The sequence below is a fragment of the Homo sapiens genome, chromosome 11, assembly GCF_000001405.40.
Source record: "Homo sapiens chromosome 11, GRCh38.p14 Primary Assembly".
In the NCBI taxonomy this organism is placed as follows: domain Eukaryota; kingdom Metazoa; phylum Chordata; class Mammalia; order Primates; family Hominidae; genus Homo; species Homo sapiens.
Genome location: NC_000011.10, coordinates 28,138,276 through 28,166,010, shown reverse-complemented (window position 1 = coordinate 28,166,010; position 27,735 = coordinate 28,138,276). Strand labels below are relative to the sequence as shown.

Here is a 27,735-nt window from a genome sequence, read left to right as displayed (position 1 = left end):
ATAAAAACAGACACATCAACCAATGGAAAAGAATAGAAAGCCCAGAAATAAACCCACACACTTTAGACAAAGGTGCCAAGGCCACAAAATGGGGAAAAGACAGTCTCTTCAACAAATGGTGTTGGAAAAACTGGATATCTTCATACAGAAGAATAAAAGTGGATCTTTATCTGAGACTATATGCAAAAATCAAGTCACAAGCTGAAGACTTAAATACATTATCAGAAAATACGAAAACTACTAGAAGAAAACATATGGGAAAAGCTCCACGACATTGATCCAAGCAATTTTTTTTTTATACAACCCTGAAGCATAGGCAACAAAAGCAAAAATAGACAAATGGAATTGTATCAAACTAAAATGTTTTTACACAGCAAAGGAAATAATTAGTTGTAAAGAAATAACCCAGGATGAGAGAAAATATCTGCAAACCATACATCTAATAAGGAGTTAACAAACTCAAAAAACTAAATAGCAAGAAAACAAGTAAACCAATTAAAAAATGGTCAAAGAACATGAACAGATATTTCTCAAAAGAAAACATATAAATGGCTAACAGGTTCATGAAAAAAGCTCTATATCATTAATCATCAGGGAAATGCAAATTACAGTGAGATATCACCTTATAACTGTAGAATGGCTATTAACAAGAAGATGAAAAATAACACAAGTGTTTTCGAGGATGTGGAAATAATAATCCTTGCCCTTTGTTGGTGGGAAGATAAATTAATACAACCATTATGAAAAACCATATGGATACCTCAAAAAACTAAAAATAAACTACTATATGGCCTAGCAATCAAATTCTAGATGATACAAGATAACTGAAATCAATATATCAAAGAGATATCTGCACTCCCATGTTCATTGCAGCTTTATCCACAATAGCCAAGATACGGAATCAACCTAAACATCTACCAGTGGACAAATGCATAAAGAAAATGTAGTACATACACATAATGGAAAAATATTCAGCCTTTTAAAAAGAAGAAAATTTTGTCATTTGTTACAACATGGGATGAACCTGGGAGGATATTATGCTAAGTGAAATTAGCCAGATACTGCATTATTCCACTTATATGTAGAATCTAAAAAAGTGTAACTCATAGAGTTAGAGAGTAGAACAGTGGTTACCAGAGGCCTGGGGAGGAGGGAAGAAATGGGAGATGTTGCTCCAAGGGTACAAAGTTTCAGTAAGACAGGAGGAATAAGTCTCTGAGAACTACTGCAAAGCAGGATGACTAAGTTATATGTAACAAACCTGCACGTTGTACACATGTACCCTAGAACTTAAAGTATAATAATGTATATTTCAGAATAGCTAAAAGAGTTAATTTCAAATGTCTTACCATAAAAAATAAGTGACATGTTAATTGGCTTGATTTAATCATTCCGTATTGTACATATGCAGCAAAACATTACACTGTACTCCATAAATATATATTATTATAATTGGTCAATTAGAAATAACACTTTTTTAAAAAATTGAGATAATTATAAACTAATTTTCCAAAGTGAAAGAAAATCATGTATGGCTAAATATGGGGGAAAAACCTATAAATTATGGCAATGTCAGTTTCACCCACTTTCAAGCAGAAACATACATATTCCTTTTAAATAAATACGTTCTACAGTATCAATAGTGAATTAAAACAGTGGTCATAAGGTACTTATAAACCCTGAAACTGAAGGCAATGGTTCAGTATTTCTTGTTTTATGACATCCCAGGAGAATGATCACATTATGATAACATCACTTCCTAATGTGTGTTTTTAAGTAATCATTTTGTTCACAAATAAGCCGTTACGTGTGTGAGCTTCTGCATATGTTGTGTTTGTGTATGTAATAAGTGAAATATTAACATAAAGTACCCAAAGAGATATAGTGATTTTATTTTGGCAATAATCAATCTCCAAAGATAATTAATGTTCATATTTAAAGAGCTATACATGTGATATTTTGATGTTTGCATTTTCTTCTGAATTACAATTACCTCTAAAATTCAGATTTAAGTTAAAACATAAATGTAATCCCATTAATTATAAAGTAAGAAAAAATTTTGGCTTGGCTCTTTAAAAAACAAACAGAATCTCTCCTAAAGAGACATAAATCATAATTTGAAAAATGTATTAAAATTATAACTCTTTCTAATACAAGAGGGGACATATGTTCAGTTGTGGCAAGTTTTCAAATTGAGGTTCCTACTTTAATGATCAAAGAAAAAGCTTCCAGGCTACAGAAAAAAAGGACTTAAAAAATTAACAACAATAAAAATAGCTCACTAAATTTTAGTTAAAGATATTTAAAAAAAAGTATATTAAGTTCTCAGGGTATAAGCCATTTTGGGGCAATTGATTCTGGGGGAAAATTAAATAGATAACATTATTTTACCTAAGTCATTGAAGGTGAGGAAATACATTTGATTGTGTATTCTCCAGACAAACACACACACACACACAGAGAGAGAGAGAGAGAGAGAGATCAGTAAGAAGAAGCATCTTATTAGAAAGATCTATGCAAAATTAGATAACCGAGTAACAGCATGGGGAGAGAGTTACAAGAGGAAAAATTTGGAACCGATTTCAAATGACAGCAAAAGCAGGGCTGCTGTAGAATGAAGTTCTGGTAACAGGTGCAGAAAGATGAGCACATGGGAAAAAGACCATGAAGCCTGACAGAATTCTGTGAATAAAATAATAATATTTAGAATTTATGCCATACTTTTTTTTCTTCAAGCATTTTACACAAATCAACAAATTAATCATCAAAACACCCACATGAATATTTCTCCACTCATTATCACACCCAAGAATGAGTTGCTTCTTCTTGACTACGTATTACAAATCACACTTTTTTCACTTTTCACATTAAACTTTTCAGCAATATCTGCCTTTTCATCTAGAACTAATTTAATCATTGCATTTGGTATTTTCAACAAATTCTATTGCCCCAAACAAATCCAAAATTAGATTGCTTATTTCTGATAGATTTCCCTTGAGAATAACACAGAATTTCTTAAAACAATCTACACCATGTTTGCTTAAGCTCAAAATACTACCTATCTGATAGAATACAGATAGTCCCCAATTTATGATGGTTTGACTTACAATTTTTTAACTTTACTATGGTGTGAAAGTTATATGCATTCAGTCAAAACCATACCTTGAATACCCAGACAAACGTTCTGTTTTTCACTCCCACATCACATTCAATAAATTACATGATAATCAGTACTTATTATATTATTACAAAATAATTTATTTTACCTATTTGTCTACTACAAAATAGGCTTTGTTTGATGATTTTGCCCAACTATAGGCTAATAGAAGAGTCCAGAGCACGTATAAGGTAGGCTAGGTTAAGCAATGATGTTCAGTAGGTTAAGTATATTCAATACATTTTTGACTTATGACATCTTCAACTTATGATGATTTTATAAGGATGTAACCTCATCATCAGTCAAGGAGCATTTGTATCTTAAAGTCCAGAATAGCTAATGGACAAATAAAAAGCATATTGAAAATTTCTAGAAAGTCTCATGAAAACACATGCTTAGATCATTTTCTTGGGCTTTGCAACATTATTGAATAACCATTTACCAAAAAGTTACTAATCATCAAATCTAGTGGCCTTTTCTAAACTGCTCTGAAACCTGTGATACTACCTACCATACTCTGTTTCTTAGCCTTCCAAGACAATGTACACTCTAATTTATTCTTTTACCTAACAGGTGTTTGTTTCTTGTTACAGTTGCCTCCAAAATTAATGAGCTCCTCAAAAATCCTTCCTTTGGAAGAAGGCTCTAGAGCCTGGCTGCCTGAACCTCTATCCAAACTCTACTACTAGCTAAGTTGTCTGAACTATGGCAACGTCTTGGTGTGTCAGCAGTTTCATCTGCAAGAAGGATATGTTGGTAATAATGGTACTTATTTTACAGAGGATTTGAGAGAAATATGTGAAAAAATAAGTCAAAAAGAGGAACAGTGCCCGGTATATAATAAACATCAACAAATGTTAGCAGTTTTTATGTTAAATTTTATGATTACTATTATCCTATTTGCAGTATCATCTAATCTAATGGCTTCAATAATTCCTGCTCTGTAAGTGACCCTCAAAACTAAATCTTGTTGACATAACCTTATCTGAAATTGTAATTTTCATTTTCAACCACCTGCTTAGTATTTCCATCAACAGTGCCTTGCCAACAGCACATATTCAAAAGATCCCAGGCTGAACTCACCATCCCAAAATTATCACTCATCCTATGTTCCTTTTTTTCAAGATGTAAAGTTTCAAAATACAAGTCATATTTTCTATTCAATTTTCATTATATCACCCTTTACGACAACCTAGACAATTAGTATAATATTACAATTAAAATAAGGCCCAACTCATTTTCTTCAATTTGACAGGATATAATTTGTCTTCTCATAGTTTTCCTTCTTTGGCTAAAATTATTTCCCTTTTGCTTAAATCAAAAACTAATAAATGTGACCTGCTATTACTTATTCTAACATCACTTTTTATTCTAGTGTCCATTTGTACATCAATTCTTTCAAATTAGTACCCTTTATGTAAGAAATGATTTATGATCTTCCTACTTTTCTTAATTCCAAACATTCATAGGTGCAAGCAGGCCAAGGCAGGTGGATCACTTGAGGCCAGGAGTTGGAGCCAGCCTAGCCAACATGATGAAACCTAATCTCTACTAAAAAACAAAAATTAGCTGGGGTGGTGGCCTGCATCTGTAATCCCAGCTACTTGGGAGGCTGAGTAAGGAGAATCACCTGAACCTGGGAGGCAGCAGTGGCAGTGAGCTGAGATTGTAACCCTGCACTCCAGACTGGGCAAGACAGCAAGACACAGTCTCAAAAAACAAAAAACAAAAAAAAAAAAAAAAAAAGGAAGGTGCAAACATCTGACTATATCACTGTCATCTTTCATTTGTATACTGTAATACTTAATACTTAATGTGATTTACTTTGCTTTTATTTCTTTCAATTACAGCTAGTATATTATATTGATATTTTAGTGTGTATTTCTGACTGTATTTTCCAGTAAGAGGGTGCCTACAAAATATTTATTATAAAAAAAGGATGTTGGGTCTAATATGATTGAGAATCAATGTACTAAATGAAGAGCTACCTAAATAAGTTATATTGTCTTGCTAGGCTTATTAAAGGGATGAAAATTTTACTCTTGGTTTGTTTATTTTATTATTATGGTTATATAGTACATTTATATACAAGAAATGGAGCAATGGTAATTGTTACCATTATTGTTAAGATTTTCAAATAACTATAATATGTTATTATTGCAAAATCTCACTCACATATTGATATCATAGGCACAAGTTCTTTGGCAAATTTAAGTATACCAACTCCAATGTATTACAATGTTTTTAAAGAGTAATCAGGATTGCCTTTAAGAAGCCAGGGTCACACAAAAAATAAACTCAGCAGATCGATATTTAACCATGAACTTGTATTTATAAAGAATATCAAGGAAATCATTCTTGAAGAAATTAAGCTCTACCAAAATCTTAATCCTGAAACTTAAGCCAGGTCTTTAGTTGTAGAATCCTATTGTTTTACATAAATAATTCTGAAAATAGTATAATACCCTTAAGAGAAGGATTGTGTCATCATTTCCTCCTTGATCACTTCCCAACAATAGGCTTGTATTAGTCAGGGTTCTCTAAAGGAACAGAACTAACGGAATATATATATAATGGAATATATATATTCCAATAACGAATGGAATAATATCCAATAACTAATGGAATATATATATATATTCCATTATATTGCATGGAACTCAGTTCGAGTGCCAAAACTGAAGAACACGGAGTCCGAAGTCCAAGGTCAGGAAGCATCCAGCATGGGAGAAAGATGTAGGCTGGGAGGCTAGGCCAGTCTCTTCACATTTTTCTGCCTGCTCTTTTATTCTAGCCATGCTGGCAGCTGATGAGATTATGCCCACCCAGATTAAGGGTGGGTCTGCCTTCCCCTAGCTCACCGACTCAAATGCTAATCTCCTTTGGCAATACTCTCATAGACATAACTAGGATAAATACTTTGTATCCTTCAATCCAATCAAGTTGACACTCAGTATTAACCAAAGTAAGTCCACCCCTTGTCAACTTGAACTCATACACATCTCCTGAAATCACACATAATCTTCAAAAAAAGACAATAAGGTCATAATTATGCCTAACATAATACAACTATTCTTCGTACAACTGGAAATGCAGCAATCCCTAACCCAAATACTATTACATAAAGTTAACGATACTTAAATTCTGATGTGAAGTCAATAAATCTTATGTCACATGATAAAGGAGAAAGGAAATAAAATGACGATATTTTCTTAGTACAAGTGTATACATGCACAAACATGTTTTTAACAAAAGAAGGGGGAAAGACTCATGATAATTACAGTCTTCATTTCTGCAGCTGGTCACGTGGTCATAGCTGGTATTGATGACTACCTACTTCTACTACCCATTCTGTATTCCCTTTCCCTTCAGCAAGCACCTCAGCAGGTTGTGTTTTTTTTTTTTTCCTGGTGGAGTGATTCAAACCTTCATTCATGAAGGGTCTGGATCACTTGTAGTCCTGCCTGGATTGGGCTGCTATAATTTCCCATTGACCTTAATCACAGGGCATGGTAATACTAAGAGATGCCCTAATGGATCTCCTGTATTCCATGCAACTCTTCCTCTTCCTTACCTCCGTTGCGGCGTAGTAGACTGATTTCATCTTCATAGTCCAGGTCAATCACCCCAGCCAACACTGTATCTCCCTTCTTAGCCTCTTCACTTAAAGGTAGGAGGAACCCAAAGTGTCCAGGTAGCAATCTTAAGTTTCAGTTTAATGGAATTTTTGTGTCTCCTGGTGGCAGCATTCCTCCCTCTAGAACTAAGACCTCTGTGCCAGCAGAAAGTAATGTCGCGGGAACAGGAAGCAAAAATTTTGCTAGTGTATCACTAGGGTTGATGGTAAGTGGTGCCACTTCCACTTCCACCCCTTGATTCCTGGACCCGTGAATCCCGGCTATGGGAGAAACAGTACCATATATTGGACGCTGATTCAGAGCACACACAGCCTTCTGGAGAACTTTGCCCCAGCCCTGCAAAGGATTGTCACCTAGTTGGCATTGTAATTGTGACTTCAAAAGGCCATTCCACCATTCTACCAATCCAGCTGCTTCAAGATGATGGGGAAGATGGTAAGACCAGTAAATTCCATGAGCATGAGCCCACTGCTGCACTTCTTAAGCCATAAAGTGAGTGCCTTGGACAGAAGCAATGCCGTGTGGAATACCATGACGTTGGATATGGCATTCTGTAAGTCCATGGATGGTAGTCTTGGCAGAAGCATTGTGTGCAGGATAGTCAAACCCATACCTGGAATAAGTGTCTATTCCAGTGAGGACAAACCTCTGCCCATTCCATGATGGAAGAAGTCCAATATAATCAACCTGCCACCAGGTAGCTGGCTGATCACACCAAGGAATGGTGCCATATCGAGGGCTTGGTGTTAGTCTCTGCTGCTGACAAACTGGGCACTCAGCAGTGGCCGTAGCCAGGTCAGCCTTGGTGAGTGGAAGTCCATGTTGCTGAGCCCATGCATAAACTCCATCCCTGCCACTATGGCCATTTTGTTCACAGGCGCATTGCATGATGACAGAAGTGGCTGGGGAAAGAGGCTGAAGGTGTCCACAGAACGGGTCATCCTATCCACTTGATTATTAAAATCCTCCTCTGCTGGGATCACCCGTTGGTGAGCACTCACGTGAGATGCAAATATCTTCACAGTTTTTGACCACTTAAAGAGGTCCATCCACATACCTGTTCCCCAAATTTCTTCATCACCAATTTTCCAATCATGCTTCTTCCAAGTCCCGGACCATCCAGCCAAGCCACTGGCTACAGCCCGTGAATCTGAATACAATCACACATCTGGTCATTTCTCCTTCCACTCAAAGTGCACAACCAGGTACACTGCTTGAAGTTCTGCCCACTGGGAAGATTTCCCTTCACCGCCGTCCTTCAGGGGTGTCCTAGAAAAGGGCTGTAGTGCTGCAGCTGTCTACTTTCAGGTGGTGCCTCGGTATTGTGCAGAACTATCTGTGAACCAGGCTCTAGTCTTCTCTTCCGCTGTCAACTGATCATAGGTAACTCCCCAGGAGGCCATTGGTGCAGGCTTGGGGAGAGAAGGCTGGGTGGCAGGAGTGGGGACCGTGGGCATTTGCGCCACTTCCTCATGTAAATTACTTGTGCCTTCAGGACCTGCTCGAGCCCGATCACGTAGATACCACTTCCATTTGATGATGGAATGCTCCTGTGCATGACCCAATTAATACCTAGATGGGCCAGAAAGTACCCAGTTCATGACAGGCAGTTCAGGTCACATGGTGATGACATATAGTCAAATGTTCAGTTTCCACCAATGCCCAGTAACAGGCCAAGAGCTGTCTCTCAAAAGGGGAGTAGTTATCTGCAGAAGATGTCAGGGCCTTGCTCCAAAATCCTAGCGGCATCCTCTGTGACTCACCTATGGGGGGCCTGCCAAAGGCTCCAAAGAGCATCCCTATCTGCCACTGACACCTTAAGCACCACTGGATCTGCTGGGTCATATTGCCCAAGTGGCAGAGCAGCATGCACAGCAGCCTGGACCTGTTGCAGAACCTTCTGTTGTTCTGGTCCCCACTCAAAACTGGCAGCCTTTCAGGTCACTCAATAAATTGGCTGGAGTAACACACCCAAATGAGGAATGTGTTGCCTCCAAAATGCAAATAGGTCTACAAAGCATTGTGCCTCTTTGTTGGATGTAGGAGAGGCCAAATGCAGCAACTTATCCTTCACTTTAGAAGGAATACCTCTCCCAGGATCAGTACTTTGTATCCTTCAATCCAATCAAGTTGACACTCAGTATTAGCCATCACAGGGCCTGCAAGTAAGAATCATAAGACCTTTTGCAAATAAAAAAATAAAGAGTTTACGATTTCAGGAATAAGGGTTAAATACCATTTATCTTATATCTATCACAGATTAAACAAACATGTTTTCAGAAACAATTTAAAGTGTCTGTTTTTGCAATCTTTTGCTGTCAAAGATATTTTTCTGTGCCTTTATTTGTGTTTCAAGGCCATTATCTCCTGGGTGGATCCAATGGATTTGTTGGTAAAGCTACCAAAGTATAAAATAATTGTCTATATTATCATTTATAAGTTTTTCAGTTAATATATATAATCTTATAACACAGAAATGAAACAAATTTGTCTACAGGCAAATCTGAAAGCTCATAAAAATAATAATTTTTGGAGTTTGTATCATTTAAAAAATTAACCTTGTACACATGTTTGGTTATCTCATTCCCTTTCCCTTCTCCCTGGGAATAAAGCCACTGGTAATTTTTAACACTTCAGAAGAAAAACAAAAGTGACTTAAAACATCTACAAAGTAATGACATAAATGTTTATGGGCAAATATATTTATCTATTTGAAAAGGTCATTTTTAAAGGCTTCTGAGATTCTGTTGTACTGAATATCTACCGTCAGGAACAATTATGGCATTTTGAACTAAATATACACTTTCTTAACACACTGAAATCTATTTATGTTGAAGTCTCAAAAACATGAAATGCATTTATGACATGAATAGAAAGATAAATTTCTAACCATTTTACTTGTTTTAAAAATAGAAAATGTCTCAAATTGTATATGACTTAATAGGGATTTCAGGTCCTCAACTCCTACTTCTTCCTCAACTGGGTACCTTTCAGGATCATGTCTTCTGTAAAGACCAAGGGATGAATGATATTTTTTTATGAGGTGACTTCCAAATCTTATTTCCCATCCTGGGGTATATTTTAGGCTCTAAAGTATAAAGAATAATAACACATTAGACACACATGGGAACATACAAAACTTTCCAAGCAAAATATTAATCTTAAAGAAGAAATTTACATTTATTCAGTCTTCAACTTCAGTCGTATTAGTTTCTGCTAAGTCACGTTTACCACACAAAATGAAGATCGCGCTATTAATTACTATACTTACTCTCAAGTGGCATATAAGTGACCTTACAGAGACAGCCTGCTTCCTGATGTAATCCTTATAAGATTCTTAGTAAAAAACCTTTTAAAAAATTGTAATACTAGCTACCATTTATTTAATGCTTACTAAGAATGAAGCACTGTCTTAAGATCATTACCAAATACATAATCTCATTAATACAGTCCTATGGGAGTTATTATCCTCATTATACTCAAAGAAATTGAGGCACACAAAAAAGCCAGAATTTGAACTCACACAGTCTTTATCCAAGATCTAACCTCTTGTCCTCTTCCCTGCATTGCCCATTCTTCCTTGGCCTTCACACAAACCTACAGATCCTATATGCAATATGGTCTCCCTATCCTCTCCCTCTCATCTCTGTTAAGAGGGTCCATAAGCCATTAATTCAGACAGAGCACTCCAGAAACCTGGCAGAGGTGGGAAGGAAAAGACAGTGAATTCTAACAAAGTTAAAAGTAAAGAGAGAAAGGATGCATTATTGAGGCTGTAAAGTAATAAGGTCCATGTTCCTGGACAGATCAAGAATTGGCTCTAAAGGCAAACATTTAAATCATCTAGTTTAATCTCGTTCTCTCCTCCACCCCTTGTAAAAGAAGATGCTGAAACTTAGAAAAGTTAGTTGTTTTTTCTTCAATGCCTAACAAAACTAGTTAAAGAACCAATGCCATATTCCTATTGGAGAGCATTACATTCTAAAAATCATTATGAATGGGGATGTATTGGATCTAATACAATCCTAAACCAGAGAGAAACCTTAACAAAATAAAGGAATGAGATAGAAAGAAGCTGGGACCAGTTTCCCATAAAATGCTACCTTAATGCTGCAGACATCTAGAGAACACCTTACCTTTAACCTGCTTTCTTAATTCTCTTTTCCTTGTATTCTCAATCCTGATCCTGCCAAAATAAATCCCATTAGGAGAAACTTCTATCTTTTGTAGTTTCTTAATGGCTCTTCCTTCCACAAAGAACTGGATAAAACTTGCCCAGTTTTGTCTCACAAATTCACTTAAGTCATACGCTAAAATCATCTTATACTGAGAATGGCACAAATTCAAATGCATAAATTAGAGAGATACTCCTTTGTGAGAGAGAACTGAGAAAAACAGAGACCCTGTGTAAGAGGGATTTAAGTGCAGTAGCATTATTAACTACATACTATATAATCAGGCATTATAATTGACATTTTGCAGGTGTCATTTCTTAAAATCAGCACAATCCTTGTATGAGAGAGTTCTTATTATTCTATTTTATAGGTAAAACTAATAAAGCTTAAAGAAGCCAACAGACTTGCCCAAAGTGACACAGTACCAAGTCACAGACCTCTGACATTACAACTTTATTTATTCAAGTACTTATCTAATAACAAAATTTATATATTTTTCATACACTTATTCCATAAGCTGTGATATGCCATTTTATTCTACTAAAATCAGTTCTAGAACTAGAAGGTAAACTAGAGCTTATCTATACCCTCATACAAAATTAATAAACAAAGCCCAAAGATATAAAGTGACTTGCCAAAGATTACAGAACACGTTCATGGCAAGGAAGAAACTACAAATTGTTAAGATTTACCAAGAATTTACTACCCTATAAGGTAGGTATTATACTATCCACATCGTACAAGTGAGAAAACAAAAAAAATGGGAAATCAAGTGGCTTGTCCAAGATCATAAAGCAAGTAACAAGAAAGAGAAAGAACATAGATTTGTCCTCAAGCAGTCTGGCTCCACAGCCTGTGTTGTTAACCACTATGCTAGAATCTCCCCTTCAATTACGAGTTGTACCTCCTAATTTCCTTCCAGCTCCTCTGAAATTAAGATAAACTTTGCACTTATGAGTTACACATGAAAGAATCAATAACAGAAAAATCAGGTAAGAACCCACTTTGAAAATTCAAACAGCTCCATTATTTCAATTGATATTTAGAAATTTACATTAAAATGTAAATGAGTCAATTTATAGAGATTAACAGAGGCTCAAATTTTAAACCAGAACTTTTCCCAGCACTACCAATTTCTGCGCTTAGCTCATCCTTCCAACTCTACCACATGGATATTTGTAAAATGAGCCTAACGATTAGATCCTCTGTCCAGAATCTGGACAATTTAGAATGCTAAATTGGGACCTTAATTGTTTCTGTTTCATGAGTCAGTGAGTATAATATTTTATCTGTTGGATTTTCTAAATGCCAATTCCATCATGTTCTAAGCACATTCTTTGCCCACTCAGTAGACTGGGTCACTCAAACAAAACTTAAGTACAACAGTAAAATGAAGTTTTCTAATTCTTTATTTTCTTACAAGCAACCAACAGACTAATATTTTCATGGGCTCATCTACCTATGTATCTCAAATTTTTCTTTTATCTATTCACTCTCTCTCCATTTATCCAATCCCAACTGTGTAAATCACACATTAGAATATAGTCAGCCCTCCATATTAATGGGTTCCCCATCCATGGATTCAACTAACCAAGGATCAAAAATATTCAGAAAGAAACATTCCAGAAAGTTCCAAAAACCAAAACTTGAATTTGCCAGCATGGAGAGTACTGTTGAATCCCATTGGAGTAAAGGGATGGAGAGGCATTATATTAGATATTATAAGTAATCTAGAGATGATTTAAAGGGAGGATGTGCGTAGTTATGTCAGAGGTATTCGAACCAGAGTGAAACCATCTTGAATAGGAGCTGGGTAAAATAAGGCTGAGACACAGGAGGTTAGACATTGTAAGTCACAGGAAGAAATAGGAGGTCAGCACAAGATATAGTCACAAAGACCATGCTGATAAAACAAGGTGCTGTAAAGAAGCTGGCCCAAACCCACCAAAACCAAGATGGCCATGAAAGTGACATCTGGTCCCCCTCACTGCACATTATATGCTAATTATAATACATTTGCATGCTAAAAGACACTCCCACCAGCACCGTGACAGTTTGCAAATGCCATGGCAACGTCATGAAGTTACCCTATATGGTCTAAAAAGGGGAGGAACCCTTGGTTCTGAGAACTGCCCACCCCTTTCCCAGAAAACTCATGAATAATCTACCCCTGTTTAGGATATAATCTAGAAATAACAATAAAAATAGCCAAACTGCAGCCCTTAGGGCTGCTCTGCCTATAGAGTGGCCACTCTTTTATTCCTTTCTAATTCTTTCTTGCACTAGATCTAAGAACCCTCTCTTGAGTTCTGGATACGGACCCCTTTCCTGTAACAGTTATATACAAATATGACATCATTTTATATAAGGAACTTGAGTATCTTCGGATTTTGGTATCCAAGGGGATCCTGGAACCAATCCCTCATGGACACTAAGAGATGGCTGTATTTTACTTTTTCAAAATTATTTTCCAATGTACAAAAAAAAAGGCCCTCAAAGACTGTGAGTTAAAAAAAAGAAACGTTTCCTAACATTTTTTCCCTTTTTCTCTGTCAAACTATATTTAAAAAACAAAATTTAGTGACCATCATATGGCTATCACTAAATACATAAACAAATTCCTTTCAACAAAATTGACTAAAAAGAAAAAATTTATATCCTAAAGCCTACTTCCTCCTCACCATCCATTTGGAAATGAGAAATGAATTCAACATAAGGGACATTAGTACATAATTTAAGACAGCAGCTTAGGCCTAGTGCTTATGAGGTTAGCAGTGTGCTGCAGTTAATTAAAAAAAAAAAAGCACACATAGGCTTTGAGGACATATAAAACTAATTATATCATTTCCTAGCTCCATGATCTTGGGCAACTCATTTCACTCCTCCAAATCTCAGTTCACCTGTCTAAAATGTATATAAAGTAGCAGGTGTGGTCCAGGAGACAGAAGGGAAAATCTAAAAGTCTTGGGAAATAAAAGTAGAAATACAAGATCCACTAACTAGTGTTATATAGTATAAATAAACCAGGCACTCACGCTGGGAATTGACCTTCTTTATTTCAGAAGCAAATAACTATATTTGATTATTGAAATCTGAAGGAAGAGGGTGGGACCAATAACAGTGGGTATAAAAATTAAAGAATTATTGAGGGGAACACTCAGGAAATTGACAGGTCTTGAAGAACAGCTATAAGCCTACTTAAGATTCTAAACTTTGTTGGGCTGAGACACTCAGAAATTTACAAGATACAGAAGGAGGGACAGTAATGCAATAAACTGTTATTGAATGAGGTACTGTGCTAAATGCTAGAAATATATAAAGTAGGTATGAACCCTCCATAGTTTTAAAGAGGAAACAGGCAAGTTAAGAGACAATTACAAAAAGTGTAATAACTCCATCCTGGAAGAAAGAGCAAACAGGGTAGTGAACAGTGCAATAAATGTCATCATGGAAGAAAGAATGGACAGAAGCAAGTGCAAAGTCAGAGACCTGAAAAGAAAATTATGTGCCTCATATGGTTATCAAGTAGGAAGTAACGCATGTTGGCAGAAGGGGAGGTTGAAGAGGTAAAATGGGCCTGGTGGTAAAGGAACTTTGTATATTTTGCCAGTAATTTGCAAACCATTACCCTAGAAAATGATGTGATGAGATCTAAAGTTAGATCCATATAACAGTAAATTAAAAGATATATTGAAAGTAAGTGGCCAATTAACAGGTTCTTGCAGTCAGCACGGTAAGAGATGAGAAGGTGGGCACATGATGTTTTAAAGAAGGGAGAGGGGTGAATAATAAGCAGTCAAGTATGCTAATAGTTTTAAATCCAAATACCAACCAAAACAAGTAAATTATATATAGTATAATATTTAGAGTTATAACTTTGTTTTTAATTCAGGTCCAAATACATCTTTTGAACATCAGATCCAAATATTTATCATGTGAAAACAATTCGTCCCAATGAAAACCTTTCATCACAAAAAGCACGGAAAACTTTCCTTATTACCTTTTTTTCCTTTTCTTTTTTTTTTTTTTTTTTTGGTCACTGTTGCCTCTGAACAGATGGGAATTTCCTCCTCTTAATCTGATGGCAAAAACTTCAAATGGGAAGAACTTTCTGGCATGGATTTACAAAGAGTGCTTACATCTATTCCAACAACATGGTGTGGGAGTATTTCAGCACAGGCTGGAACAGTTTCAGGTTCATCATTACCTCCTGAGAATACCTTTGATAAATAAAGACTCATAGAAAAGTAAAGCTAAAGTCTCAACTCTTGAAAAGGCAGCAATGATTTTCTTGGTTTTAACATTCCAACCCTAATGAGCAGGATTTCTAAACTGATAACTAGAAGGCGAGAGCAACAAAGCTCTTTCCTTTAGAATGAAATTATATAAATTTTAGGGGTTTTTTTTCTATCACACAGGCGATATGTGTATAAAGGAGAGGGATTTTTCATTTTTTAAAATCACCCCCATTTTAAAGTTAGTACAGATATTTTTAGAATACTTTTTCCAATTCAATATCCTCACCTTTTCTCCTTTTAATTTTCTTCTCAGTGTCTCCTCCCTCTTCATATTCAAAATAATAAATGTTAGTTTGTGTGTTTGTTTGAGGAAGAGGTGTTAGTGAAGCTTTATCAGTCCAATTCCTTTTTTCCCTCAATATCTCTCACAAAAATCCACCTCAATTTCATGGCCTAAGTAGACAGTAACAAGAAGAAAGAATATAGAAAATAGGCAACAGAAAAGAGAAAACAAAAGAACCAATGAAACACAAAAGCCAAATGAAAAAAGATCAATACTATACTAGTGTAGTATAACTAATAAATTGAAAGTTATCTTGGAAATCTTTTAGCCCCACTCTGTTGACAATAAGACACAAAAGAGCACTGTAGGAGATTGGAGGGCTGGGGTGCAGTGGATAAGAACTGATTAAACCTTTCAAACCTAATCTGAGCAGGAGTTTAGGACTGCCTGCCCAAGAGATGTACCCTGAGAAATGGCAGGCCTATAGTTTCCTATATTTGAAATTCAAAGAAGCGACATTGGGCCCTGGGTTTGCTGAGAGTGTAAATTTATCAAATATTATTCAATTTATTTTTCTAAATTCCTCAGTTGTCTCAATGAGTGTTTCCAATTGCAAGGCATCTCAGAGATGTTTTCTTGCCTCAGAATTTTCTTTATTGACTCTCAATTTGAGAAATGCAAATATATTTTAAATAAAATTTAAGTACTGTTTTGTTATAGTGCTTTTTTATATAGGCCTTTTTGTATCGAAAATAAATTTCTATGGGAAGCAGATAAATTCCAAAGTCATATACCAGTTCGGTTTTGGGTAATCCATCAGAAACAGTGCAATGAGATAAAAGAGATGATCCTACTTACATGTTCTCCTTAATGGATCCTCAGCCACTCCTTGCCTATCCCTAAAGAATCATATATTTTAAATCTAATAATTACCTAATCCAAATTCATTATTTTATCTATGAAGGCACCACGGCCTAGAAGGAAAGGTAACCTGCAAAGTAACACAGAGTTGGGATAAGAACCCAGGTCTCTTGATTTCCAGTCTAAAAAATGCAAACTGCAAGAATGGCCCTGGTGTGGTACATCTGATACATGGCTAGTTTGGCTAGATTAGAGCACATTTGGTAGTTCAACACCCACCACTCACCCCTGCCACACAAACACACACACACTTCAGCTACATCCATAATCCAGTATTTTTGTCATTATATTATCATCTCTGTCTGTGCCAAGTACTGTCAGTTAAACACTTTATGAACAACCTCTAATTATCAGAAAAATCCTATTACATAGGTTCCTCAAAGTAGAAATGGCTAAAAAAAAAAAAAAAATCAGAAAATGAATTGAAGTCCAGAAGATGTGATGATAAAGTACCAAGCTCCTACTTGAAATAATTCAAGTGTTTAAGCTAACTATATGGCAGAATAGAAAAAATAAAGTGTATTATTGCCTTTCTCAAAAGCTGCCTTAGCCTAGCAGTGTCTTAGTCTGGCCGTCAAACTGCTAAACAATGTGGTACCAATCCACATTTCTATTCTCATTTCCCATCCTTTTAACGCAGTATTATTATGCTATGAATGCAGTAAGTTATAAATTAATGGGTTTTTCCTCACTGAGATCAGAGTGTTTAAAAACACAGAATATATAAAGTCTAAGATGGTTAGCACAGTGATAGGAAGAAAACAAACTTAAGAATACTACTTGACAGGACTGACCACCACAAGCATAGACCATGACTACAAATACAATAGGTAAGGAAGAATTTTGAAAAAGTTGAAATAAAATCAGTTTATCTCAATCCCTTGGTGACTTACATGTGATAAACTACTGTGACAATCGGGGAAATTGGTAAATAGAAGCTCATTTAGCTTAGGTATAAAAAGCCAAAGACTTAGACAAGTTCTCTTGTAAAGTGCTAAAAGTAGGACTAGAGAAGCAAAATTATAAAAATGGAAAATACAATTGGAAATAAGCATGACCCAATATTACAGAATTAAATAATGCTGATAGAACATAGAATCAGTAAATAAGTTGAGTCCAGATTTTTGAGAGAAGGTAGAGGGAAGTGGTGAAGAAAGAAGATGTGAAGGCCAGGGAGTGAAGAAAGAAACAAGAAAAATAGCAGGGAATAGAGATTTACTCTTCAGAGAGTCTCTGTTCATGAAAAATGTTGTACCTTTGAAGCAATCAGCGTAACATGGAAATAAGGCTACCATAACCTACTGACTTTTAGGTATCATAAAATGCAAGAAAAATTGATTTCTTTCCTTTCCAATTTATACATGAACATTAATTCTCTGTTTAGAATCTTTAATGAAACTCTAAACATCCAGTTAATAAATTTCAAATATCACAATTTGCTAGCAAATGAAAAACTATATTCCCAAGATATGACTCAAGAAGTAAAAGTTGAAACAAAAGAATAAGAAATTGGTAATGTGGTTCTGGCCAATCTATGAGCAAAATATACATGAATAAAATGAGGTTGGATAAGAAGACTGAAGAGAAAACTGTGTGGACCCTCAGAAAGATTTAGACTCTAACTGGTAATACTCAATTGTAGGTAAAAAACCAAGTAACCCAGCATTTCCCAAAGTTAGATAGAGCATTAAACTCCTCAGGCACATTCATAATGTCCTTTGAAAACTAGGTAAGTAAAAAAGAGTTTGTCAGGGTGGAGGAAATATATGATCAAATAAGTTTGTACAATGGGTTAAACAAAGGTAAAAATGTTGTTTTTTTGCTAGAATTTTTATATGCTAGTAGGCACTGAAAATCTCCAAGAGAAGGATAGATTATGCTGTGTTTTTAAAACATATTTGACCACAGAATTTTTCAAAGATCATCTCATCAGAACTTAGGGATAATGAACAAAAACCCAATAGGTTACTGTTGTTCTTAAAATTTCCTAAGGAATGATTAAGATCATATACTGTATCCCATCAAAGACTGACCATCTACTGTACTCTATCAAATCTAAGATGATACTGATTATGAGATGCAGCATTAATTTTACATACTATAAAGAAAAGGTACTGCCAATTAAATTATAACATGTCATCAATTATAAAATGTGTCTCAATTTCAATCAATAACTTCAAAAGAAACATTTCAGAGGAATGACTGAAAGATATGTAATCCACTTATTGCCCTAAAGATTGTCTACTCTGTAACTAGATCAAATGCTTCTCCTGAATTTTCCTTTAGCATAACGCCTGAATCTGGCACTAGACAGCACACTAAAATGCTGTTGTAGATTGCATTAGGTGTTTATTATACAGATATTGTTGAGGCTTCAAGATTCACATTTGATTATAGGTAAATAATTCCCATCTCAGAGATGCTGGAAGGATTTAGAAAAATAATATATATAAAGTGCCTGAAACCTATCAGGTATTTAATATGTGACTTCCCTTCTCTTCCTCTTTTATTCAGTAATCCTTTCTAGCATTTTATCATTTTGCCAGAACATACTTGCTCTCTTAAGCCAAAATACCTTCCTGGTCTTGATTTACTTTTGTTTATTCTTCTATAAACATGAAGAACACCTAATCAATCCCTCTTTGCAAAATTCTTTATATAAATGAAATATTTTCTTTCAAATACTTTATTTTAAACAAATATGAACCTAATGAAGGAAAAGACTTTTAAAAACGTCATTTTTAATGAATTTATTAAAGTCAAATTAATGCAATGTAAAGGAATGTAAGCAAGCCACTTAATTTGTTTTTTATTAAGTAAAACGTAACATCTAATTGGATAGTGGGCTATTATTGAACAAATCAATATGCTATTACTTATGAACTAGTTTGTGTGAGGCATAACACACTTTCTCATAGATTGATAAATTAGCAAGATAAAAAGAAAAGATATTGTATTGAATATTTTTAAGAGAAAAAAGGCATCAAACAAGGAAGAAATTAATCACAATGACACAGGGTTCATTACAGGATTCTAAAAAATAAAAATCAACATGGTAACTACAGGTCTATTCAACAGATTTTTAAAAATCTATGAAGCAGAACAAAAATCTAAATACCAAAGAACAATTAAGCAAGTTGCCAAAAGACAAAATACTTTGGTAGGATGTCAATCAGTAACACTGAGCTGACAACTGTGCCTTAATTAATCTTGAAACTGTTTCCAATTAGTTAGTATAGAACACTAGAGGCTTCATGCTGCCTATGACTCAGTACACTGACTCATCTACCAAAACTTTTCTTACACAAGAAATATCCAAGCACTCGCCAGGATGCAAGATCAAAAGGAAAGAGGGTTCACCAACCTTCTTAGTTAAAACCTTGTGATAAATTTAGATGACCGGAAGGATATGGAACAACTTTCCAGAAAGTTTTAACAGTCAGAAATAGCTTGAAAAGTTTGATTTGTTAACAAAACAATGAAAATATATTATTTTAAAATCAGTCTTGCAAATATATCTATAAAATATGCTAGCTGTTTTTTAAACTATATAGAGGATATAAATAATATAACCAACATTAAAGTGTTCAATGAACTTCACCAAGCCATATTTAAATATCTCATATTTCCTAACTCATTAAAATAGCAGTGGAAACAAAATTCAGATGCGAAGAAAAGCCTAAAATCATCATACATCTACCCCATAGAAACTTGCTTACATTTTCAGATTTAGCTTATCATGGTATAATTCAATTACAGACTTTTCTAGAATAAATCTAAAGCTTTAAATGATTCTTCAAAAAAATTACAAAACATTAATATGAAAAAGAACACAATAACTTTTATTATACAGTTTATCTAACTCAGTTTATTAAATCACAGAGTAATAATGTAAGCAATTATATTAATAATTTTTTTAAATTTTAAATAGTTTTGAAATGCCATTGGGTTGGGAGAATGGGTAAAGGACCACAGAAATGAGGAGCAAAAGACCACTCGTTGCAGGGAAAACAAAGAAGACCCTTTATTCAGGAAATAGAATGCACAAGACGAGGTGTTCCACAGGCCAAAGCCAGTTCTAACATCCTGGAGAGTCTAGGAATCCAGTGAGAGAAATCAAAGTTAGTACCAAGTCAGTTCCCAAACAAATTACCAATAAGAGATCCATTATGTTATAGATGTCTACAAGTAATTTTTTCATGCCATATGAAAAATTTTAAAAAAATTAAATTTAAAAAATTCTGAGATGACTTACAAAGGTAAATTAGTACAGAAAGTATAACAGTAAAGAAATGGAAATATGAAAGAGATGAAGGTAGCAATAAAGATAGGAGGAATTTTAAAAGTATAATTAGCTAGCCATTTGGGGCCATGGATTTTTCATCCTAAAACCATGGTCTGATTTGTCTGGAACCTGGAGGAGGAGGCTCCAGCGCTGGTGAACACTGCTGTGACGTATTTGAAGCCTAGATTGGCCACATTTAGATATTAAGCCAAAGTTGAGCTAACTCCTCCAACTCCTACTGAGATCCTGACAGCTATTCAGAGCCTGAAAAAAATAGTCAACAGTGCTTACACTGCTAGCTTCTAACAGCTGACAGTTAAGGAAGCTGTGCTGAATGGTTCAGTGGCCACTGAGGTGTAAATGTGGTTTTATATTGGAGCAATCATAAGTAAGCATTGCACCATTGCCTATAATGTATGACAAGTCTTTAACATCTGATTATATTTGACTTACTATTTCAGTGTTCTTGGATCATGTGTGATCAGACTGCTATCTGAATAAAGTGTGTCAATAAAAAGTATAATCAGTGGTATGACTGTTACTCAAAAGAAAGGACATAAAATGTTTACATCCTTTAATATAAGCAGACCACAAAATTTACCAATGAGTTTCCTAAAAACCACTACAAGAGAGAAACATAAATGGTTGCATTATTCACTATATCCACCAAAAATTACACACACGCACATATATATATCTAAACCCTGGTCATTCAAAATAAGCCTTCCTGCTACTGCACTTTGAAAAAAAAATCCTATTAGTCCTCATAAACTGATAAGACAGTAAATTACCACTTCCTCCTCCATCTCTGGAGTAAACACAATAATGAGTTTCAAAGTTGCATTACTTTTAATATTTCTCTATATAAGCTATGGAATAACAGTGAAACATGAGTATGAGTAATTCTAAGACTGCGAATATTATATGGTCCAAGTACACTGCAGTCCTTCATAAATTTTATTTCCCCCAAACTTTTTATAGGTATTAGGTGACAGAGAGGTCAAAGTCATAATCTGATATAAGAACCTGGAGTACAGCTATTTTATGTTGTTTTCTAAAGAACAGATCTATATATTTTGGCAGTAAGCTAAGTAGAAAATATTGACATACACATATGAAACCTAATGAGCCAAACGAGAATACCTGCCTGAATTAATTAAACAAATGCTTATTGCAATCCACTACATAAAAGATTACACTTACTGGGGTTAAAATGATGAACTTGTCTCTCATCCTCCCAGAGGTTAGAGTCTATTGGGGACCACATGCAATTAAATAAATAATTATAGCAATGATAAGGACCATAATAGGCAATCAGTGCCTGCTGGAGCAGAACCTAACCTGGAAATGAAATGTCAAAAAAGGCTTTTCAAAGAAACAAATGCCTAGGCTGCAGCCTAAAGCAAGAGTTAGCTCAGAAGTTCCAGTCAGATGTCAAAAGAGATCCTAATCAGTCTCCTCTATGCTCATCTTCCTAAACCGAGTCATTAAATGATGGAACTACTCAACGATCAAGATATCTTTTCTCAAGGCAAAATTCATCTAGACTCATGGTTTTAGTTTTTACTTACATGCTGATCATTCAGTTACATGACAAAAATCATTAATGCGTCTTTGTTCCCATAACTGTTCTCTGACTTTCCCCTTCCTAAGGCATCAAAGGAACATCTGGCTTTATGCTACCAGCTTCTTTCCCTATCATCCACTGCAAGGAAGGTCCTATGTTGTCAAAATAGGAACCGTTACATCAACGTAAATAGTACAGAGCAAAGTACAAAAGAAGAAGGATGAATTAGAATAAAACTAGCCTGGATGAGAGTAGAGGGGTAGCTTCTTCAGTAGTTTTTGAAAAAAGAATGGAACACCAGCTACATTTGATGAAAACAAAAGATGAGAAAGGGAACAAGAGCAATACTAGAGAGTACTGCTGGGAATTAAGAGTCCCTTCATGGTTTTGAGAAATGCATAAAGAACTTGCTTCGTTTTTAAATAATTGTTGTTTTAATGTACTGTGTTCTTTTGACTATAAGACTCCTCAAGGACTGTATCACATGGGTTATGACTTAATAAGAATTAAATCTGGTAAATCTTTGTCTCATGCTCAGACATTACCTCTGAGCTCCAAAACAGACTCTTGAAACCCTATTCTGGCTGTCTGAAAAGTATCTAAAAACATGTCCAAAAAAATGTGATCTTCTATTAAGGAAAAAAAAAATAGGGTCCTTGTTCATCCTACGACAAGGCCACACACCTACCTTTACAGTTCCCTCTCTTCACTTACCATATCTAGCTCTTAACCAGATTCTGTTTATTTTATATTCAAAACCCCTCCTATCTGCCCACCTCTCTCCATTTAAACTGTTACCACTCTATCTAAACTACCACCATCTCTTTCAATAAATACAATTGCTTTCTAACTGGTCTCCTTTCATCTACTGTTGCACAACCCACTCCCAGCCTACCACTTCTAATCTATTTTCCACTAGGCAATCTGAATGTTCTTTACAAAATATCTATCTAATCTAGTTAGCCCACATCCTCTGCTCAAAATGAATTTAATGAATTTTCAATGAATTCCCACAGCTTTTAAAGACCAAATATTCTTAACATGGTCTAAGGCCTAGCATTTTCTGTTCTCCTTAACTTCATCTTTTTCCATACATCCTTGCTGTCTACACTTAGCCACAATGGGCTTTCACGTTAAATAAAAATTATAGAAATCTACTGTTTTGGGCTAAGCTCCTGCACTAGGCCCCAACACACTAGACTAAAAATCAAAATCAAAGCATTAAAGTTCCCTATCACCAAATCAAAAAGTTATCTGACTTTCCAATAAATCAGGAGAGAAAAATAATAGCCAAATTTCCAAAATAGGCCAGGCAGCAAGACAATCAAGTTCCTTCTTCCTTTAACACTTACCCAAAAATAAGTAAACTTAAGTAACCTGATATTAATAGTTATTTTTTTATTGTGCTGTTTCCCTGTTCTTGCCTTACTAGAAAAGTAACTTTGAAGTGACCAATCCACTTCTTGTTCTTTGTTTCTCTTTTCTTTGGCCCTTTTCTATCTATAAAACCAATCTCCTCTAGTCCACTCACTGTAACACTCATTCTATTTTATGGAATGAAGTGTTGTACAATTCTAGAATCATAAACAAAGTCAATTAACATCTTTAAACTAAATTTGTTTTCATTTTGTTTTTTGACATTTGGTTTCTCAAAAGTGTCCTGCTTTTTCCCATAACAGTAAAACTGCCTTTGCAAATAATACGACTGAGAGAAATCTAACATAGCTGACTTCATCTCACTTCTAACCTCATAAGTTGTCTGTACGTTCATTCCTCCGTGTAGGCCAAGCTAACCATAGGAGGAATTTAGTTTACAGTTTGAAGCAAGGATGATAATAGTCCCTGCTTAAAACTAACCTCCTCTTTGTTCAGGATGGAAACTGCCTTTGTGAAAATAATGAAAGGCCACAAGGTTAGAATTATGGTAAGGACCTAAATTCTGTTAAGCTGTAAGCATCATTAAGCAATAACCAGCCATTGTTCCCTAGCTTGCTTACTACTCAGGAGTCACAAGATTTTATTTTATTTTATCTTATTTTATTTTGTTTTGCTTTGTTTTGATACAGGGTTTCAGTGTGTTAACCAGGCTGGAGTGCAGTGGTGGGATCTCAGTTCACTGCAGCCTTGACATCCCAGATCAAGCGATCCTCCCAACTCAGCCTCCCAAGTAGCTGAGACTACAGGTGTATGCCACCACGCCAGAATAATTTTTTTTTTTAATTTTTTTGTAGAGATGGGGTTTCACTATGTTGCCAAGGCTGGTCTCCAACTTCTGGGCTTAAGCAATCCTCCTGCCTCTGATTTTGTCTCTGTCTCCCAAAGTCAAAGTCTTCCCCAGTTGCTCCTTTAGATAACAGCACTATTATCAAAAACTAAGATTGATCTTTCAGATATTTTTCAGACTCGTGCATTCGGCCATACCACCTGATACCAACAGGACCGTGATTCATATCAAGGAACTGACTCAACCAGTCCTGTAACACCTGCACCCAGATACTGACTCAGCACATGAAGACAGTTTGGACAATACCATGATTTCATGCCCAGTCAATCAGCAATACCTATTCCCTAGTGCTCTGCCCACCAAATTACCGCTAAAAACCCTAGCCTCCAAACTCTTAGAGAGGCAGATTTGAGAAATATCTCCCATCCTCCTCCCAATTAAAGTGCTATGACTAAACACTATCTCTGCTGCAACTACTGCTGTTCTCAGCATATTAACTTTCTGGGCATCGGGCAAGAAGAACCTATTTGGCTATAATAATGAAAGGAGTTAGCCAGCTTCAGGCATACAGTAAGGCAAGGATCCCTGGAGAACCTCCCACCTTTGTTTGGTCCAGATAAGGGAACTTGAACAGGAGCTTTGCCTAAACATGCCCGCAGCGGACTAAGTGCCCACACGCCCACAGGGGAAATGGGGTGAATCGACAAGGAATTCACACCTTATACAAGTAGGGAACACAGCCCCATCAGCATGTATGTAAAATGCCCTTGTATTCAACTGTGAAGGGGGCAACCAGCAGCCTGCTTTCAGGACCCCTCTTTTTGCTGAGAGCTTTCCTTTTCACCTAATAAATTCTACTCCACTCACTCTTTGATGTCCACATGGCTATTTCTTCCTGGTCATGAGACAAGAACCTAGACCTAGCTGAGCTAAGGAGCAAAAAACCCTTCATCATTTTGGGGGCTTGTCCAGAATACCTGGCAGGTGAGTAAACTGCAGATCTGAAACCTTTTGCTTTCATTTCTGAGTCTTCTCCTCCTCAGACTTTTTCTGAAGGCAGATGCAGCACCAAACCTCTGGTGAGCCAGATAAGAATGAATGGCACAGCTACAGAGGACAGGATGCTGGAGAGTACCCCCAAAAACCCCTATCACTCTCAAGGGTTGGGAATGTCAGCCTTATTCCAAACCAGTCTTTTCTACAGTATTTTCCTTCTTTTGTTCCAGGATTATCCTGGCACTTAGCTCTTCTTTTATAATGTTAAAGATGTTGCTGCAAACTGCAGATACTACTAGGTAGAGTGAGCATTTAGCCCAGCCATCAGAAATGCCATTCAGAACAATGCGATTTCCATCTGTTCTTAGAGGCACATCTCACACCCCCACCCCAAGGGCCACAGGCACACGCTCGGAACAGAAAGGCAAGCGGAGGCACCCATCCTCCCTGCTTCCCTCCCAGCTAGGGTGTATGGACATGTCTGCACATGCACATGCTCCATCCAACAGCCACATGGGGCAGGAATGAGCTGCAGCCACCAACTCCCGCCATGGGTCTCCACAGAGTCTTTCCACCCCTGGCCTAGGCAAAAGGAGGGAACAATGATTAAGAGTTTCTCTCCCTGTTGGAGGAACCCATTTGCATAGAGCTAGAGGATTTTCCCTCAGGCATTTTCTCCATCCTGCATTTAAGCTGTTTTTTTCTTTTCTTTTCTAACATGGCCCTGTGAAAACAGGGAGCTTTTCTATGCAAGAGTTTTGTTTTTTTTTTTTCCTTTTGGAAAACATCTTATTAAGCCAGGACCCCAACTCACAAGACACCCTTTACTCTCCCTTGTTTGAGGAGGACTCAGCACCACAGATTTACCTTAGCATGACTAATTCCTGCCAGTTAGGACCCCTCCCATTTCATGGATAGAGGTCATGCTAGCATCCATGGCACAGACAAGGTCTAGGGAACTCAAAGGTTACTGACAGCAGAGGAAAGGCAGCATGTGGGTAAATGCGGATAATTCCCACCTCCTAGGCCCCCTGTTAACAAGGGTGAAAAGCCACATTGGCACCCATGGTCTGCACCATCCCAAGGTTACAGGGACTCAGGGATGTGAGGACAGCTCTTCTCTCTCTCCCTCACATAACCCGGTTATTCCCTGGGAGAAAAAAGGAACTAGGGATGACTTGTTCCCCTCTTTCTAGTTGAGTAACCAATCATCTTCAGTCTGTATTTCTCTCAAATGCCTCCTGAATCACTGGGATTCCTTTGAGGGAAAAAAAAATCCTTACTCTGTCCTCTCTTCACAGATGGGTAATTGTGTCCCCATACCACAGGACACTCCCCTCAGATATATCCCCCAAAGTAGGAAAAGTTAGTTTCCCCAAACCTTAAACTGCTTGGCTTAAAAGTGAGCTCAGGGGAAGGAAACCCAGAAGTCTGACATGCTGGTAAAAGAGTAAAAGTTCTTAACAGCTGGACTTCGGGCCTCCCTCTCCCTGTGCAGACCGGTTGAATAAATGATAAAATTACTGTTTGTGTCCTCTGTGAAGTCTGGATTAATGGAAAAAAGGATTTGTGAGGCTAGTCTTAGGCTGTAGCCAATCTGGTGTGCTTTTTGTGTCTTCCTGTATGGTTCCATGATAAGGAGGAATACCTTAGGATAGAATGCAAGCCTAGGACCCCATAAGCCTGTTGTTCAAGCCAACCAGCAAACTGGGCAGTAACAAACATTGCTGCAGGTTTCCATTTTGTTTTACGTCCTTGGGAGCTTGACCTTGTAACCACGTGGCAGTACCTTCTTTTGGCCTCTGCCATTTTAAAATGGTGGCCCGGGTTCAATTTTGGCATAGGGAATGAGTACTTTCCGGTTAGTATCTGTGTGACTTTTAGAATTTGCTGATTCTCTTCCCGTCTGTGAACAAATTCTAGCTTTCTTTCTTAAATCTTTCTTTCTCTGAGCCACCTTTAAAGATTCTAGATTTTGTAGGAAGTGCTTACCACTTCTTTGAAAATACCTTGTACACTCACAGTTAAGCCATAACCTTGATTGAGGCTTGTTGGTTTCACCTGTGAGGTTACTTTTGGTAATGTTCAAAAGTTAGAAATATTGGCCACTTGGCATGGCTAAAGTAGGGTAATGAGGGATTTAAAAGGATTTTCTTAAAAAGCACTCAGCTTAATTTAAAGTGGATATCCAAGCTAGAGGTATATTTAAAAGGCCTTTATGTTTTACACTTCATGGATCTTGTTTTTCTGG

General features: G+C 36.3%; 1 protein-coding gene and 1 pseudogene across 9 annotated transcripts in view, besides 3 other annotated features; one reads left to right on the top strand and one right to left on the bottom strand.

The window, feature by feature from the left end:
* The window catches only part of METTL15 (methyltransferase 15, mitochondrial 12S rRNA N4-cytidine), a 424,088-nt gene that overhangs the window by 366,465 nt on the left and 29,888 nt on the right, over positions 1 to 27,735 (bottom strand). The gene's annotated exons all lie outside the window — the stretch shown is intronic.
* On the top strand, positions 20,766 to 21,282 carry ATP5MGP8 (ATP synthase membrane subunit g pseudogene 8; annotated as a pseudogene).
* Positions 24,405 to 25,604: an enhancer, noted in NCBI's record as "MED14-independent group 3 enhancer chr11:28161954-28163153 (GRCh37/hg19 assembly coordinates)". NCBI's record gives its function as "activates an origin of replication core promoter dependent on BRD2, BRD4, P300/CBP and CDK7 cofactors, and independent of MED14, by STARR-seq in HCT116 cells {active_cell/tissue: HCT116}" and the evidence as "EXISTENCE:reporter gene assay evidence [ECO:0000049][PMID:35650434]".
* Positions 24,405 to 26,099: a biological region, named in NCBI's record as "MED14-independent group 3 enhancer GRCh37_chr11:28161954-28163153".
* Positions 25,493 to 26,099: an enhancer, noted in NCBI's record as "NANOG hESC enhancer chr11:28161459-28162065 (GRCh37/hg19 assembly coordinates)". NCBI's record gives its function as "activates a minimal SCP1, AML or CMV promoter by ChIP-STARR-seq in naive and primed H9 embryonic stem cells {active_cell/tissue: H9 hESC(naive and primed)}" and the evidence as "EXISTENCE:reporter gene assay evidence [ECO:0000049][PMID:30033119]".